The sequence below is a fragment of the Homo sapiens genome, chromosome Y, assembly GCF_000001405.40.
Source record: "Homo sapiens chromosome Y, GRCh38.p14 Primary Assembly".
Lineage (NCBI taxonomy): Eukaryota > Metazoa > Chordata > Mammalia > Primates > Hominidae > Homo > Homo sapiens.
Window position 1 is genome coordinate 12,660,151 of NC_000024.10, and position 17,555 is coordinate 12,677,705.

General features: G+C 41.1%; 2 long non-coding RNA genes across 7 annotated transcripts in view; one reads left to right on the forward strand and one right to left on the reverse strand.

Moving 5' to 3' along the window:
• Positions 1–1,164: 1,164 nt before the first annotated feature.
• Positions 1,165–3,342, reverse strand: LOC112268311 (uncharacterized). 2 transcript variants are annotated; one of them, XR_002958838.2, is made up of 2 exons: positions 3,154–3,342; positions 1,165–2,601 (listed from the first exon to the last, which is right to left on the reverse strand). It is a non-coding gene; the product is annotated as an uncharacterized LOC112268311 (long non-coding RNA). The 2 variants fall into 2 exon arrangements; XR_002958839.2 differs by having other exon boundaries at positions 3,211–3,333.
• Positions 2,202–17,555, forward strand: part of TTTY15 (testis expressed transcript, Y-linked 15) — a 29,882-nt gene continuing 14,528 nt past the window's right edge. For 3 of the 5 annotated variants that reach the window (NR_001545.3, NR_174087.1, NR_174088.1), the window contains exons 1-2: positions 2,202–2,556; positions 4,490–4,536. This is a non-coding gene — a long non-coding RNA (testis expressed transcript, Y-linked 15). The remainder of the gene's footprint in view (positions 2,557–4,489; positions 4,537–17,555) is intronic. The other 2 variants (NR_174085.1, NR_174086.1) reach the window with 1 other exon arrangement.

Consider the following 17,555-nt stretch of genomic DNA (forward strand, 5'->3'; position numbering starts at 1 on the left):
AAGGAACTGCATTGCACTGCTGTCTGACATATAAATATGTGGGCCCCTTTGCATCACTCGTACGTGATTTAGGAAGCACAGGTAGTCTGCAAACATGATGCTCATGCTGCTTGTTCTGTTACAAGTAGTAAAGGCCTTGATACTGCTTGTTTTTGCCTTTATAAAGTCTGCGGATCTTAGTCCCAAAATACTGTCTTTGGATCCACTAAATAGTAACAGGTGAATCTTATAGCTTTTGAGAAAGGTAAAATAAAATCCCAGATCCAACAGAGTTCTATATTAAAATGGTGGTAGTAACATCGGTAGACCTGTGTATTAGTGTATTATTACACAGTGTATTAGTATTTAGTGAAAATTGGGCTGTGATGTTTATAGGATGTATGTTATACAATAAAACCTTACCAGCAATAAAGAAAAAAATTAGCCTATGTCTGCATATCTATACCTATCAAGACTTCTTCAAAGGAGAAGTAAAGTTAGTAAGTATAAGGCAGGAATTAAGTTCTAGAGTATCTTTTGATTATGATTATTACATGGGGCGCAGATGTAGAGCACAAAGTGGGCTTTGTTAGGGGCTTAGAACACTTGCATTCTATTTTTTTTTTTTTTTTTTTTTGAGATGGAGTCTTGCTCTTTTCACGTTGGCTGGAGTGCAGTGGCACTGTCTGGGATCCCTGCAACCTCTGCCTCCCTGATTCAGGCAATTCTCCTGCTTCAGCCTCCTGAGTAGCTGGGATTACAGGTGCCTGCTCTGACAGCTGGCTAATTTTTTGTATTTTTAGAACAGACGGAGTTTCGCCATGTTAGCCAGGCTGTTATCAAACTCCTGACCTCAAGCGATCTGCCCATGTCGACTTCCCAAAGTGCTGGGATTACAGGACCGAGACACCGTGCCTGGCCAACACTTGTACTTCTTATCTTTGCTGGCTGATGATCTTGGGCAGTTAACTTATTTTTTCTAAAATTTTTTTATGGAAAACCAAGGATAGCAATACATGTATTAAGAACTTCATAAGATAGTAAGTTTTGCATGATATCTAATCCTAACAAATCTGCAATTTTGTATGTGTGTGCTAGGTGAGTACAAAAATGGACAAATAATACCAAGAGTCAATCTGCAACATATAAGAAATATCTTCAATCATGAGCAAGTGGGGCTCATAATGGGAATTCATGACTGATTTAATATGAAATATTAATCGATGTAATATACCATACTAACAGATTAAGGAACAAAGGCGAAATTACAACTGAATACATCTTGCAGGAGACAACAACTAGGCTTTTCTCCTATTCGTCCAGATAGATGGTCTGGCCCAGGATTCTACAGAAGCAGCTCTTCCAGTCACCCCAGGCAAGGGTCTCAGGATAGGGTAGGTTTACTTGCATGGCACACGATGCGAGAAGTGGTGGCCCCTTAAAAGCTGCTCTATGAATTCCCAGGCGCCGCAGCACGGTCTCAGGATCTCAGCATTCAGGCTCACTTTTCTATGTACTGTTCATCCTGAGAAAAACTTGAAAACTGGTGATGTTTTCATGCAGGCTGTTATCGGCCAGAGCAGAGATTAACGATGAAGTAAAAACCAGTAGTGCAAGTGGAACCGTCAGAGCAACATAGTTGGGACACAAAAGATTAATCCCTTAGCCATAGCACCTCGCCTGGCGTTGACTTCTTTCTTGACTATGCCATACACTCTGCGTCCTACCAGTTCACATCAGATTTGCAGTCTTACTAAACGCCTTTCGTACTCCCACCTGTCCAGTAATCAGCTGTTTCCACAAGCAGTTACAGAACTAAAAGCGATTAAGGACAGGAATTCTATAGCTGAAGGGGCAGCGGATAGCCAGTGCCGTCCTGGGCTATTTTTATTGTGTGGCCCTAGCTGCAGCTATCCCAGTGTTGGTGATGAATACGCTTCAGTCGGGACTGAGGTTTCCGTCTAGGGCACCAAGGTGTTGCCAGTTCCGCTGCTTCTGGGTATAGAAAGAGTAGAAAAGGGGAAGAAAAGTAGAAACAGCAACCGTTAGCAAAGAGAGGAAGACGTAAATCAGAGCAGGGGAGGCCCTAGGGGCGGGGCTTGGCGGGGGTGGGGTCTTGGAGGGTCGCAGGTCGCGGCGCTGGGGATGGTGGGAGCCTGCGCAGCTGGCTGGGCGGTCTCTTTCTCTCTCTCCTTTTTTTTTTTTTTTTTTTTTTTTTTTTGTCAGCCGGGTTCAATGCGCCATATTGAAGAGGACGGGTCTAATAGATCGCTGGAGACACAATTTAACTGAACCCCGCCCGTTGTGGACTGACTTTGATGCTCTGAGTCCCTCCCTCCTTCACGCCGCTAGCAGGCCCTGATGTAGATTGCCTTTGTCTTACTTGGGACGTTTACCTGAGCGCTTGGTGCTGGTGTCGGGACCGGGAGATAGGAGTGTCTCAGGAGAGACCTGGCCGAAAACCGCGAGAAAGAAAAGTGAAGCCTAGTGAAACTGCCTTTGCAGTGACTCAAGAAAAACTCATCACCTGGAGTCCGTGTAAGCTCGGCGACAGCCCTAGCAGCGAGGCCAAAACAGGTAAAGAGGGCTACTGAATGACAAAGAGGTAGCGGCATCGGTCACCTGTATAAAGAGATGGACGCTTCTTAGGCCAAATCCCGGTATTTGTGAGCAATGTCTTCCTCAGGCATGCAGGCCGCAGTCACGACCGCGTGCCTAGAAAGTACCTAATATCAAAATATTTTACAGATATTTTGTTGTCCGCCATTCCCAGGTGTAGGTCTGAGTCTAGTCTCTATTTCCCACTGTCGGGTGCCCTGATTACGTGGACCTGGCGCCTGTACCGTAAACCACCCGCGCCTCCGAATCACCGACAGACAGATGTGAGATAATGTCGGAGGCTCAGGGGATTCTGAGTATGTGCGTTTCTTCTTTTGCCCTACCGGGCTTGAGACTTCTTATTTCGGAGGGCTAGGGGCAGACGCGGGCGGAACTGCTGTGTGTGTATTTTGCACTGTAAGGAAAAATGGCCGCCTAGCCTCCCCCGCCTTCCCTATTTCTCGTAATGCCTAAGGTGAAGTGGGAGGATTAAATCTCTGGTTTCACAGGAAGAACCTCCTGTCTATGCCCGGGGCCTCACTCAGAGCCAGGGACTAACCGCTCCTGGTTACACACCTTGCCCCACGGTCCTTCACAGGCTCGAAACTGGCTCGTTGCACCAAATGCTCTTACCCAGGTGGAGTGATGAGGAACGGAGTTAGGCGTTAGCTGTCCTTAGTCATTAGGCCAGACTTCTTGTCCACCTCCCGCAATCAGCCCTCACCATCTGACCTGAGAGTCTGCACCAGGTTTTTGCCCTCTTACAGCCTTATACCTCCTCTTCCTCTCCGCTACTTTGCTAAACGCCAAGACGCAGTATGACGTATTTTAATGAACAATTCGGTTCCGATTTAGTTTGTATCAGATCTCCTTTCTGTTCTCTACAGAAACAACTTGTCTCTGTTAGTGGTTGAACCTGTTTTTGTGATAGCGCATTACGCATAATGTACTTTTTCGGTATCTCAAAATATTAACTTAGACTTATGGAGCAGATATTTTACTAATTTTTATGAAATTTTTTGCAAACTAGAAATTTACACAGGAATTTTAAACGTTTATATTAAGAATGTTATTTATAAAATTTGCGCATAAGTTTACTTAATTTGTACGCTGCCCGGTGTATCTTACTTGTTCAGAAGGTTTTTAAGTTTGAAAGATGTATACGTAACCCTTAACTATTAATGCTGGTTTTTTGTTTTTTGTTTTCTTTTTGAGACGGAGTTTCGCTCTTGTTGCCCTGGCAGGAGTGCAGTGGCGCGATCTCGGCTCACCACAACCTCCACCTCGCGGGTTCAAGCGATTCTTATGCCTTAGCCTCCGGAGTACCAGTGATTACAGGAATGCGCCACCACGTCGGGCTAATTTTGTATTTTTAGTAGAAACGTGGTTTCTCCATGTTGGTCAGGCTGGTCTCGAACTGCCGACCTCAGGTGATCTGCCCGCTTCGGTCTCCCAAAGGCCTGGGATTACAGGCGTGAGCCACCGTGCTCAGCCTGGTTTTTGTTTTTGTTTTTTTAAGGGGGGCATTCTCTTACTGGGCAACTCGTTCATCCTCTAAATCCACAAAACAAGATCACTGTTAAGAAGGAAATACAGGTTCTTTCACTACGAAACTTTCAAGACTTCTTTTCTTGGGGTTCATTCTCATTAGTAATTATCCGATAAACTAAGTACCAGATCATAAGGTACCACGGTTGTCTAAAACTATACCGTTAAACTTTAAAAATATACACCATAAACTTCTACATTTTTCTTAGTTTGCTGCTTTAATCACTGCCATTTTCGTCTCTGCAAATGCGCAATTGTTTAAAAGTGTAAGGATTTGTTTTTCAATTAGAAAACTCATTGATATGCTTTTAACTTTCTCGCTTCACATGCTTTTAACTTCTCGCTTCAAACTTTATTCTTACAGTTTGGGAAGAAAGAAAACCTAAAGTATTTGCCGTTGGTGATTCAAGGGTGAGTTGGGAGTATTTTTTATTTCACTGACTTGAAAATAAGATTGTGGGATTTTAATTATTTCTTGTTGCCGTTTTCTGTTAACGGTGATTGCGTGAATGTTTACTCTTGTCAATCTTGTCTTACTGTTACAATATTTCTTTTTGTCGGTTGGCTTTAGTAATATATATGACTGTGGGTCCGGGTGTGGTGGCTCACTCCTATAATCCCAGCACTTTGGGAGGCCCGGGCGGCTGGATTGCCTGAGGTGAGGAGTTCAAGACCAGCCTGGCCAACATGGTGAAACCCCGTCTCTACTAAAAATACAAAAAAAAAAAAAAATTAGCTTGGCGTGGTGGCGGGTGCTTGTAATCCCAGCTTCTCGGGAGACTGAGGCAGGAGAATCCCGTGAACCCGGGAGTTGGAGGTTGCTGTGAGCCGAGATCGCGCCACTGCACTCCAACCTGGGCAACAAGAGCAAAACTTCGTTTAAAAAAAAAAACAAAATATGTATATATGACTTTTCATCTACACTTGGAGAAAATTTTTATAATGACTACATAATGGCAAAAACATTGTATTTGAGAATCTACGTAATAAAGAAGTGATTTTTAACAGATTTTATTTAACTTATTGAGACCGTAAACCACCCGTGCCTCCCAGTCACAGACAGACAGATGTGAGATAATGTAGGAGGCTCAGGGGATTCTGAGTATGGACATTTCTTATTTTTGGGCTTTTGAATGGTTACCGTGGTTTGTCAATGAAAATGGAAAAGAAGGATTTCTTTTCCAGGCCAGGCACAGTGGCTCATTCCTGTCATCTTAGCAATTTGGGAAGCCGAGTCAGGCAGATCACCTGAGGTTAGGAGTTTGAGACCAGCTTGGCCAACATGGCAAAACCCTGTCTCTACTAAAAATACATACATTAGCTGGGCATGGTGGTGGGCGCCTGTGATCCCAGCTACTTGGGAAACTGAGGCAGGAGAACCACTTGAATTCAGGAAGCAGAGGTTGCAGTGAGCCGAGATCTGCGCCATTGCACTCCAGCCTGGGAGACAAAGCTGAGACTCTATCTCAAAAAAAGAAAAAGAAAAAAGAAGGATTTACTGTGGGTCTTTTTTTCTTCTCGGATGTTGAAATGCGTTTTCCAGTATCTAGCATTACGTATTTTAATGGATATCTTCTAATAGATTTTTTCATCAGATATTTATGAGGCAGCTTACAGTTTTAGAAAGTAGGTATTTGTCTCAACTTCAACATTCACTTCTTGGTTTGTTGCACAAATTAACACTTTGTTAGCTTTTTGTTGTTTTATAAGATTCGTTTTTAAACTACAGTAGACAGTTTTGTTTTAGCATTTTGATGTGGAAACCATCCTTTGCTTGAGTTAAAGATAATTATTTCAAATCTATGTTTTTTAAAAAATGTGCATTAAAGGATTGGTAGTCATTTTTGTGCAATAAACGAAATATTTTTTCTTATTGCATAAGTTAGTGTAATAGCTTTATTGAAGTATAATTTACATATTAAATGTTTCTTTTACATATACAACTTACTGGTTTCTAATACATTTACAGAGTTCTGAAACACTTCCAGTTTTAGAACATTTTCATCACTCCAGCACATCCTTGTTCCTTTTCAAGCCATTCCCCACTCATATCCTCAGCTCTTGGTAATCTGTAATCTTCTATATCTACAGATTTGCCTTTTTTGGATGTTTCACAAAAATTGAATCAAAATATGTAGTCTTTGTATCTCACATCTTCCACATAGATAATGTTTTTGAGATTTGCGTCTTCCATGTAGATAATGTTTTTGAGATTCATTCATGTTGTAATATGGATAAATACTGTGTCTTTTTTATACTAATGGTATATCATTATATGGGTGCAGTTTACCTGTTTACCAAGTGTACATTTGGTACACTTGTTTGCAGTTTGGGGTTTTTATAAGTGAAGTTGCTAGGAACATTAATGTACACAAGGCTTTATGTGTGAACAATTAGGGTTTTTGTTTCTTTGTTACATTTTAAGGACTTTAAGAACAATTACAGGGTGGGGCACAGTGGCTCATGCCTGTAATCCTAGCACTTTGGGAGGCCAAGGCGGGTGGATCACCTGAGGTCAGGAGTTCGAGACCAGCCTAGCCAATATGGTGAAACCCCGTCTATACTAAAAATACAAAAAATAACTGGGCATGGTGGTGTGTGCCCATAGTCCCAGCTACTTGGAGGCTGAGGCAGAATCCTTGGGAGCCAGGAGGCAGAATCCCTTGAACCCAGGAGGCAGAAGTTGTAATGAGCAGAGATCTCACCACTGCACTCCAGCCTGGGCAACAGAGCAAGACTCTGTCTCAAAAAAAAGAAAAGAACAATTGTATCTTGGGGAGGTATGTAGTAACAAAATTACTTATTGTATTGTAAGTTTATATTTAACTTAAGCAATTGCCAAATTGTTTTCCAAGGTGTCTGCACCATTTTACATTCATACCAGCTGTTTTGGTATACTCTTTCCATTGGGTGTGCAGTGGTATCTTATTAGTGGTATCTTATTTTGCATTTTCCTAATGGCTAACAAATGTTGAACATCTTCTCATGTGCTCATTTTCTGATTGTGTTTCTTTAGAGAATATTCAGACTTGCCCATTAAAATTTATTGTTTGTTTTAAATTGACCTGTAAAAGCTCTTTGTTTGGCTATGTCTTTTTTTCCTTTCCTTCCTTTTTTTAATGTGTGTGTGTGAGACAGACTCTGCTATCAAGGCTGAAGTGCAATGGCACACTCTCGGCTCACTGTAAACTCCATACCCCAGGCTCAAGTGATCTTCCTACCTGAGCCTTTCGAGTAGCTTGGACTGCTTGCCACCAGGCCCAGCTAATTTTTGTACTTTGTTTTTTTTTTTGAGACAGAGTCTCTCTCTGTTGCCGAGGCTGGAGTGCAGTTGTGCGATCTCGGCTCACTGCAGCCTCCACCTCCTGGGTTCAAGCAATTCTTCTGCCCCAGCCTCCTGAGTAGCTGGGATTACAGGCACAGGCCACCATGCCCAGGTAATTTTTTGTATCTTTAATAGAGATGGGGTTTCACCATGTTGGTGAGACTGGTAACTTTTGTACTTTTTTGTGGAGATGGGGTTTCACCTTGGTGCCGAAGGTGGTCTCAAACTCCTGGGCTCAAATGATTTGCCCGCCTTGGACTCCCGAAGTGCTGAGATTGTAGGTGTGAGCCACTGCGCTGGCATAGATAATATCTTCTGTCAGACATATGATATGCAAATATTTTGTCCTAGTCTGCAGCTTATCTTCACTTTCTTAATGACATATTTTGAAGCACAAAAGCTTTTTGTTTTGTTTTGTTTTATTGCTTGTGCTTTTTATGTTCTAGCTAGGAAATCTTTTCCTAACTGAAAGTTATTGATGAAGAGTCACACTCCGTAAAATACTTGAAGGGATTTATTCTGAGCCAAGTATGAGGGACCAGTGGCCCATGACCCAGCACTCAGGAGACCCTGAGAACATGTGTCCAAGGTGGTCTGGGCACAGCCTAGCTTTATACATTTTACAGAGGCATGAGATATCCATCAAATACATATGTGGAAGATGTACATTGCTTCGGCCCAGAAAGTTGAGACAGCTGAAAGCTGGGGCTCCCAGGTTACTGGTAGAGTTAAAGTTTCTCTGATTGGTAGGTTGACAGTTAAGTTATTACCTAAATACCTAGAGTCAATAGAAGAGAACGTCTGGGTTATAATGATGAGGGATTGTGAAGACCAAAGTTCTCTTATGCAAGTGAAGCCTCCAGGTAGCGGGCTTCAGAAAAAATGGATTGTAAGATTGTAAATGTTTCTCATCAGAAAAATAGTCTATTGTATTAGTAATTCCAAAAGAGAGGAGCATATAATGAGGTATGTCCGTACTCTTCTCCGCATCACAACCTGAACCAGCCCCCCTCAGGTTAGTCTTGGAATGTCCTTGCCAAAAGGAAGGGTCCATTCAGATGGTTGGAGGGCTTAGAATTTTATTTTTGGTTTACATTCTCCCCCTTTAGGCCAAGATTTGCCAGAGGCAACATCAGTGGCCACCAAATTTTTATTCCATCCCATAAAGTTGGGACAGATGAACCCAGTGTGGCCTGGGTGTCTGGTCTGGGTTCATCTTGTCCCCCTTCGTGGGGACTCACCACCATTCCTCTATTGCCAGGGAACTGACAGTGAAAAGACTTATAGCCAGTTGAATATTTAGACAAAAAAAGAATGGATATAGACACACATTCATTACCCTGAGATTTTTTTTTTTTATTTGAGAGAGAGTCTCACTCTATCGCCCAGACTGGAATGCAGTGGGGTGGTCTCAGCTTGGTGCATCCTCTGCCTCCTGGGTTCAAGCGATTCTCCTGCCTCAGCCTCCTGAGTAGCTGGGACTATAGGAGTGTGCTACCACACCCAGCTAATTTTTTGTGTGTTTTGAGTACAGACAGTTTCACCCTGTTGGCCAGTCTGGTGTTAAACCCCTGACCTTGTGGTCTGCCCACCCTGGCCTCACAAAGTGCTGGGATTACAGGCGTGAGCCACTGTGCCGGCCACATTGTTTTTTGTTTGTTTGTTTTTTGTTTTTTAGTAAGTAAAAAGTCAACCAGCAAAAAGTCAAAGGTGAGGTTACAAAACTGACTTACCTTTAATTTCTATGCGTTCTGCTACTAATCATATAGTTTTAGTTACAGAATTACAGCAATTACCTATTCAAAAATGAGCATTGTTCTGAAAAAAAATTTTAAAAATGTATTATCTAGATGTACAACTTATAGCTGGGAGGCTTTGTCATGAGGTATCTTTACCCTCTCAGTAATTGTTTTCTTTTAGTTTTATGAAAAGCAGAAAATACTTTATGGTTAGAATGCGTGAAAAGGCGCCACATGATAGCTTAGAGGGCAAAGTCCCTTGTTTACTAGCTGTGGAGGCATTTGTTTACCTCTGGTTACTTTGGCGGGTATGACCTAATTCTGCCCCTTAAAACCAGTCCTTAGAATCTCATGTGCCCACCGCTTTGGCAGTCGCTGGGCCTAGAAAGAGGGTGCTTGGATAGTCCTAGCAGCAGGACATTTGCAGAGAAAAACAGTCTAGGCCCAGTAGATGCCAAATGAGGGAAATTGGCATCTCTAGTCTTCAGGAGACCATGAATCTGGTTTCTTTGGAAGTAAAATAAGGAGAGATACATAACGTTAGTATTTTGACAATCAAAAGAGTATTTGCATGTCAGAACGAAAAAAGAACCTATTCCATTAGGGCACCAACTAACAATATGAAAACAAATTATAATCTGGTAATCTTTAGAGGATTATTGTACCCAAGAAATAACTCATGCTCTATTCTGCAATTAAAAACAGAAGTCAGGGCTGAAATCTAGTAACATGCTAAACTTTTCCTTTGAAACAGTTTCTCTCTCCAGCACTCCTTTTCCATTATAGAGGAATTACAGTAAGACCAATTCATGTGCAAAATAAGTGTTAGGCTTATTGTACTTGGCCTGATTGTTTGCATAATGTGCAGCAAGCATTGATTGCCCATATAGGCTCCTTTTAAGTTGGCTTTGCTGGAACTTTACCTAAAAATATGTTAGTCTAGTCAAAGTCTTGGTGAAGTAACTAGTGATTCAAGCTGTCTCATTTTAAGAGAAAAGACTCTTAATAAACTTAGGCAAATAACTGCATTACCATAAAATCAGTTTCTGAATTCTGGAGAACTCGAAGTGAAAGGGAAATTTCCTTATAAGAACATACTTTACCCAAATGTTTTAAACCGTAAATAATCTAAAAAAGCATACTTCCTTGACTCTTCTTTAACCAGAGCAGCAGCCTTACAAAACAAGATTGTATTTGTGTACCTTGGAACTGCTACTCACATGCTAAGCAGCTCTTGTCAGATGAGAGCTGTCAGGCATTGTACAATCTGGGAGCTCTTCACATGATTAGAGTAAGTCCTAAGGAAGAAGGAGGCTCCCTGCTCATGAGTATCTCCTCCTTGTATTTTCCAGGTAGCAATATTCTATGTAAAGCATTATTAATTTATCATGAAACTTTTGGGCAACATTATTTCCATTAGCATGGGGGAAGCTTCAGTTAACAACCCATAGCAAGGCAGTTACTGCTCCTCAAGTGGAAATGTTCTACTTCAGGTATTCTCATTGGGAAGTAGTCACAGGCTTATGGTAGAAGCCCCAGTAAATGCTCTGCAAAGGCTGTGAAGTGGAGGATTTGTTCTATCACTGCAGCTTCTACCTTACATTCTGTGGGCTCAGGCAGTCTTACTGGTTCCTATTTAGCATGTCCACTTTAATTAACATTTCTCAAAGGGCAGATTTACGTGCCTTCCGTTGTTGTTGTTTTTCCTTTAATTTGCTCAGGTTGAATACCTGCCTTCAGTAAAGCTGAAGACACTAGTTAGGGGAAACATCCTTGCGTCAGGTACATTGGTACCCATTTTCATAACACGTTTAGGTAAAGGAGTCACAGCTACTTTATAGAAAGCCTGTTTAAACACTCAGGTTTCATAATCTTTACATTTTTTATGTTCTGGTCTGAGGAATCTTTCTTTTCTACTCCCAGACCATTTTACCTTTTCTGGTAAAAAAGAATTTGGGTTTCCAGTAGGGGATCCAGCCAAGGGACACAGGCTGTTTTGTCAATCTTTATCTTTATCTTTTTTTTATTTTTGAGACGCAGTCTCACTCTGCTGCCCAGAGTGGCAGGATCTTGGCTCACTGCAAGCTCTGCCTCCTGGGTTCACGCCATTCTCCGGCCTCAGCCTCCCAAGTAGCTGGGACAACAGGCGCCCGCCACCACGCCCGGCTAATTTTTTTGTATTTTTAGTAGAGACGAGGTTTCACCGTGTTAGCCAGGATGGTCTCGATCTCCTGACCTCGTGATCCACCCGCCTCGGCCTCCCAAAGTGCTGGGATTACAGGCGTGAGCCGCCGTGCCCGGCCCAATCTTTATCTTAATTGACTTAAGCATTGCTCCAGGCAGTGCCACCTTTTTCATTATGCTTTACCTTTTGATTTTTCTTAACTTTCCCTAATATGGTGCAAATAGTAGAAAACTACCTTTTGGTGTTTTTTAATGTTGGGGGACTAGCAGGGGTTCCCTTTGGTCCACGCAACCTTTGATAGTATGTAAATTCCTTTGTTTTTGACCCTATCAATTTTCATTTTATTTATTAATAACCATTTAAAGATTTATGTAACCCTTCTGGGGCAAGTCCTTTGATTTTCTTTCCCTTTTCCATTTTGTTGTTAATTATCCTAATGTTTTAGTAAGCATCTTTAGGACTCAGGAGAGGCAACAAATTTAATAAGGCTTCTGAAATAGTTGTATGATTCTGCAAGAGGAATGCCACATGAGGTGCCCATGTAAAAGGGGCCTTCTTAACCCCAGCATTTAGTATGACCTAGGTAATAGGCATATTCAGTGGGAAAATATCTGGTCATCATAAGGCCAAACCCATAGGCTTCCATGTGAAGCACATCAACTGCTTCATCTGGGTGCTCCACTTGGCATTTTATTGGAGAGAATTGGACAGTCCCTTTCTCAGGGTCAACGGACCTTACAGTGGCCATTTATCAAGTCCAGTAAGCTGGTTGTTATTTTAGAAAAAGTCTTCTGTGCCTTTGGATTGCATATACTCATCAGTGATTGTTTAATAATGAGCTTTGTGTCCAGCATCAACCCATTTACAATTAAGGATTCTGTCTTTAAAATTATTTTTACAATCTATTATACTAAAAATTTTTCATGAAGCTGATAATATCAAACTGCAAATTAGAATAATTTCTTTATATTCCACCCTTTGGATTTGGTAGTTGATTTTGCCCTTCCCCTGTATTTATGATGTTTTTGGTAAAATAGTACATTTTTTCCTACTATTTTAACTCTTAGAAACCCAAATTCCTAGTGAGAAAACCTATGTAATTTAACATAACATCGCTTTTAAAATTTTAAACTAGTGAAGAGGATTTTCAGATTAAATTTGTCAAAGATAACCAAGATGATGTGAATTAAAAGGCATTTCAGCTAGCTTCTTTTAGTCTGATAAGCATTCTTCTTATTCTTCTTTTCTTTTTTTTTTTTTTTTTTTTTTGAGACACAGTTGTACTCTGCCGCCCAGGCTAGAGTGCAGTGGCATGATCTCTGTTCACTGCAGCCTCTGCCTTCTGGGTTCAAGTGGTTCTCTTGCCTCAGCCTCCTGAGTAGCTGGGATAACAGGCCTGCACCACCACACCCAGCTAATTTTTTTTTTTTTTTTTTGAGACAGTGTCTCACTCTGTGGCCCAGGCCGGAGAGCAGTTGTGCGATCTCAGCTCACTGCAGGCTCCGCCTCCTAGGTTCACACCATTCTCCTGCCTCAGCCTCCCGAGTACAGGCACCCGCCACCATTGCTGGCTAATTTTTTTGTATTTTTACTGGAGATGGGGTTTCAGCGTGTTAGCCAGGATGGTCTTGATCTCCTGACCTCATGATCTGCCTGCCTCGGCCTCCCAAAGTGCTGGGATTACAGGCATGAGCCACCACGCCTGGCCTAATTTTTGTATTTTTAGTAGAAATGGGGTTTCACCATGTTGATCAGGCTGGTTTGAAACTCCTGACCTTGTGATCGCCTGCCTTGGCCTCACAGAGTGCTGAGATTACAGGCATTTGCCACCATGCCTGACTAAGCACTTTTCTTTAAGCCAGTTGACTAGAGCTCTTTTATTTAGTTTGGTAGTGAAAAATCACTTCCACATGACACATAAACATATAGACATAACAGACATAATGCACATACAGACAAAAGGCAGGTCCAAAAGATTTATTTGCCTGTTTTCAAAACTTCTGTCTCTTACTTTAGAATATAAATTTAAAAGGTTACGGGAGCCAACAAAAGGTGAAGGAGAGTTACCATCCCAGGACTTTTTTTTTTTTTTTTTTGAGATAGAGTTTCATTCTTGTTGCCCAGTCTGGAATGCAATGGTGCGATCTTGATTTACTGCAACCTCTGCCTCCCGGGTTCAAGTGATTCTCCTGCCTCAGCCTCCCAAGTACCTGGGATTACAGGCATGTGCCACTTTGCTCAGCTAATTTTTGTGTTTTCAGTAGAGACAGGGTTTCACCATGTTGGCCAGTCTGGTCTTGAACTCCTGACCTGAAGTAATCTGCCTGCTTCGGCCTCCCAAAGTGTTGGAATTACAGGCGTGAGCCACCGCACTGAGATTGTCTCAGGCCTTTTCAAAAGAAAGATCTGAAATTCTGAGATATCAATCTAGGAATTTCAAAAGAAACAGATTATAGAATTTAAAACTTAACACCTTCTTGTATTAAGAGAAGTCAACATTTTAAATAAAACCTTGTTCTTACCAGTTCTTTAGTTTTTCATTAGTGTATTTCTAATAAGTTCAATTTCTAGAGAGAATGTTACAGTTTTTTTAAATACAGCCAACTTTATTATGTAACTTAAAAAAATTTTTTTACTAACCTTTTTACAAATTATATCAATCATTCATTACATGCTTGGACTTTCTGGTTTGTTCTAAATATCTCTGTTTCTTGAACAACCAGTTACCTTATTTTAGGACAAAAAATTTACCACACAAGATTCTTTTTTATATTTCATTACTTTTCTTTTAACCTCTCTTTAAAAAACACAAAACTATTTCTGTAACTTTCTTTACATCTGTCTTATTTCCTGGTTCCTTTTTTGTATACCCACTAAATAAGATTTGCATTAGACAAAAATATTTACCATTAAATAAGAAAACAATTTTTTTTTTTTGAGATTGAGTCTCCCTGGGTCGCCCAGGATGGAGTGCAGTGGCATGATCTTGGTTCACTGCAACCTCTGCCTGCTGGGTTCAGGCGATTCTCCTGCCTCAGCCTCCTGAGTAGCTGGGACTACAGGCGCCTGCCACCATGCCTGGCTAATTTTTGTATTTTTAGTAGAGACGGGGTTTCACCGTGTTAACCAGGATGGTTTCGATCTCCTGACCTCGTGATCCACCCGCCTTGGCCTTCCAAAGTGCTGGGATTACAGGCGTGAGCCACTGCGCCTGGCCGAAAACAATTTTTAAAGACATCTTCTTACAATTTTTAAATTGGAAATTACCCAGAAATTTAATATGTATTATTTAATATAACCATACATTCTAATTATATGACAAATTTGTTTACAAGCATTTATTCCATTATATTTACCTGATTATTTAATAAGGATAGTCATTATTTAAGGTTATTTCCCTGTTAATATTTTTATGGCCTATGAATTTCAGGTGCATATCTAAGTAAGAAACTTAAGTTTAAATATATGAACAACACATGATTTACTTGTTTTCATTAAACCAAAAATCTTAAATATCTTATTTGTCAAAAATTATACAAAGTTCATTCTGTTTTGGGCTGGGTTTATAGTTTTATGACCCTTCTGACAAATTTTAACACCTTACAAGATTTGGCAAGAATAAGTATGAAACCTCTTAATCAATAAATGTAAACAAAACATGTGCTGACAGTTCTTAAGATATTTCTAATACTATTTTACTTGTACTTTTAAAGCTAACGTATTTATTAAGATTTTTACTTCAGTCACATGAACTTGAAAAGCATTTAGGCTTACTATTTAACTTTAAGCTGATTTGGTACTTTGTGACCAAAACACTGAACAAACTACATGTATGTACACATAAACACACAACTACACACTCAATCAAACAAATATCCTGTAACTTTTACTTAGAAAAGTAACAGCAGATTTAAAGCAGGTGGAAAAGAAAATAGAGAAATAGAGAATTTTTTCTTAATGTAATTTGTCCCTCAGTTAAAATGTTCAAATAGAGGCTCCATGGTTTTTTCGTCATTCTTAGATGTTTCCCACATTTAGGTTGTTTCCCATTCTTAGATTATATGTTTCCACTTAAAAGGACCAACTGAGCTGTGGCCTAGGGTTTAGTGTAATGGATTGGAGTGTGCTGGTTATGAGCAGGACTCCACAGCATGTCACCACTGAATTATTTCCGCCCTCTTAAGTGTCTCATTCTGTGTCTCTGTTTCCCTCTCTGGAAGTCTAGTACCTCTGAGTGCTGAGAACACTGGCTGATCAGCCTTTATATGCATTTCTTGCAAAAGCTATATATATATATATGTGTGTATATATATATATATATATATGTATATATATATATGTGTGTGTGTGTGTATATATATATATATATATATATTTTTTTTTTTTTTTTTTTTTTTTTTTGAGACAGAATCTCGCTCTGTTGCCCAGGCTGGAATGCAGTGGTGTGATCTCTGCTCACTGCATCCTTCACCTCCCGGGTTCAAACAAAAAAGCCTATATTTTTATTTATTTATTTATTTATTTATTTATTTATTTGAGACAGAGTTTCACTCTTGTTGCTCTGGCTGTAGTGCAGTTGGCACCATCTCGGCTCACTGCAATCTCCGCCTCCCAGGTTCAAGTAATTCTCCCGCCTCAGCCTCCTGAGTAGCTGGGATTACAGGCATGCATCACCACATCCACCCAATTTTTTTGTATTTTTAGTAGAGATGGGGTTTCACCATGTTGGCCAGGCTAGTCTCAAACTCCTGTCCTTAGGTAGTCCGCCCGCCTCAGCCTCCCAAAGTACTGGGATTACAAGCATTAGCCACCATGCCCAGCCAAAGCCTATATTTTTAAAAAAGTAATTTTTGTTGGGGGTGCCCTGTAAGGCCACTGCATGTCACGGGAGGTCAGTACCCCAGACATTCCCACTTGATCCGCAGTCACTCAAGGGCACCTTTGAGTTGGGAGGAACAAAATGCTGTTTTCCTTTAGAGCTGAGGAAACTCAGTCTCTCATTTATCTATGAAAATGACACTTCAGTTTCTCATACAAATGCTCATTCAAACCACCTGAGATTAATTTTGGGAGAAAAAGCAATGGAGAAGACCCTTTAGAATGTATTTCTGAACTAGAAACCAGTTGAGGAGCCCAAATTGTTCTCCCTGTCTTTAGAAAAAGGAAATGGAAAAGACCCTTTAGATTACACCTCCAAACTAGAATGAGGATCCTACACAACAGTTTCCTAGGAAGAAACAAATAAACACAAAAACAGAATACATCAAGGACTGTCAATCAAAGGGAGGCTGGTGGGCTCAGGAGCACATACCAGTTCCACCAGAGGAGAAGCTTAAAATTGGAGAGGCTTTCAGGCTGGGCACGGGGGCTCACGCCTGTAATCCCAGCACTTTGGGAGGCTGAGGTGGGCAGATCAGGAGGGAGGTCGGGAGTTCAAGACCAGCCTGGCCAACATAGTGAAATGCCGTCTCTACTAAAATAACAAAAAATTACCCGGACAAGGAGGCAGGTGCCTGTAATACCAGCTACGTGGGACGCTGAGGCAGGAGAGTAGCTTGAACCTGGGAGGCAGAGGTTGCCATGAGCGGAGATTGCACCTGGGTGACAATGCAAGACTCTGTCTCAAATAAAAAAAAGAAAAAAGAAATTGGAGATGTTTTCAATGAGCCGCTGCTGGTGCCTTTAGCTCTAAGTTTGGGCAACTCCTTTGTGGTCCAGAGTGTTCTCTGATGCCCCATGTTGGGCACCAAATTATTGTCAACGAAAAAAGTCAAACTCTTTAAAATATTTGAAGAGACTTATTCTCAACCAACTGTGAGTGACAAATGGCCTGTGACACAGCCCTCAGGAGATTCTGAGAACATGTGCCCAAGATGATCAGGGCACAGATTAGTTTTTGTTTTGTTTTGTTTTTGTTTTTGAGACAGGGTTTCACTCTTGTAACCCAGGTTGGAGTGCAATGGCGTGATCTCAGCTCACCGCAACCTCTGCCTCCCAGGTTCAAGCAATTCTCCTGCCTCGGCCTCCTGAGTATCAGGGATTATAGGCATGTGCCACCATGCCTGGCTAATTTTGTATTTTTAGTAGAGATGGGGTTTCTCCATGTTGGTCAAGCTGGTCTCGAACTCCCAACCTCAAGTGATCTGCCTGTCTCGGCCTCCCAAAATGCTGGGATTACAGA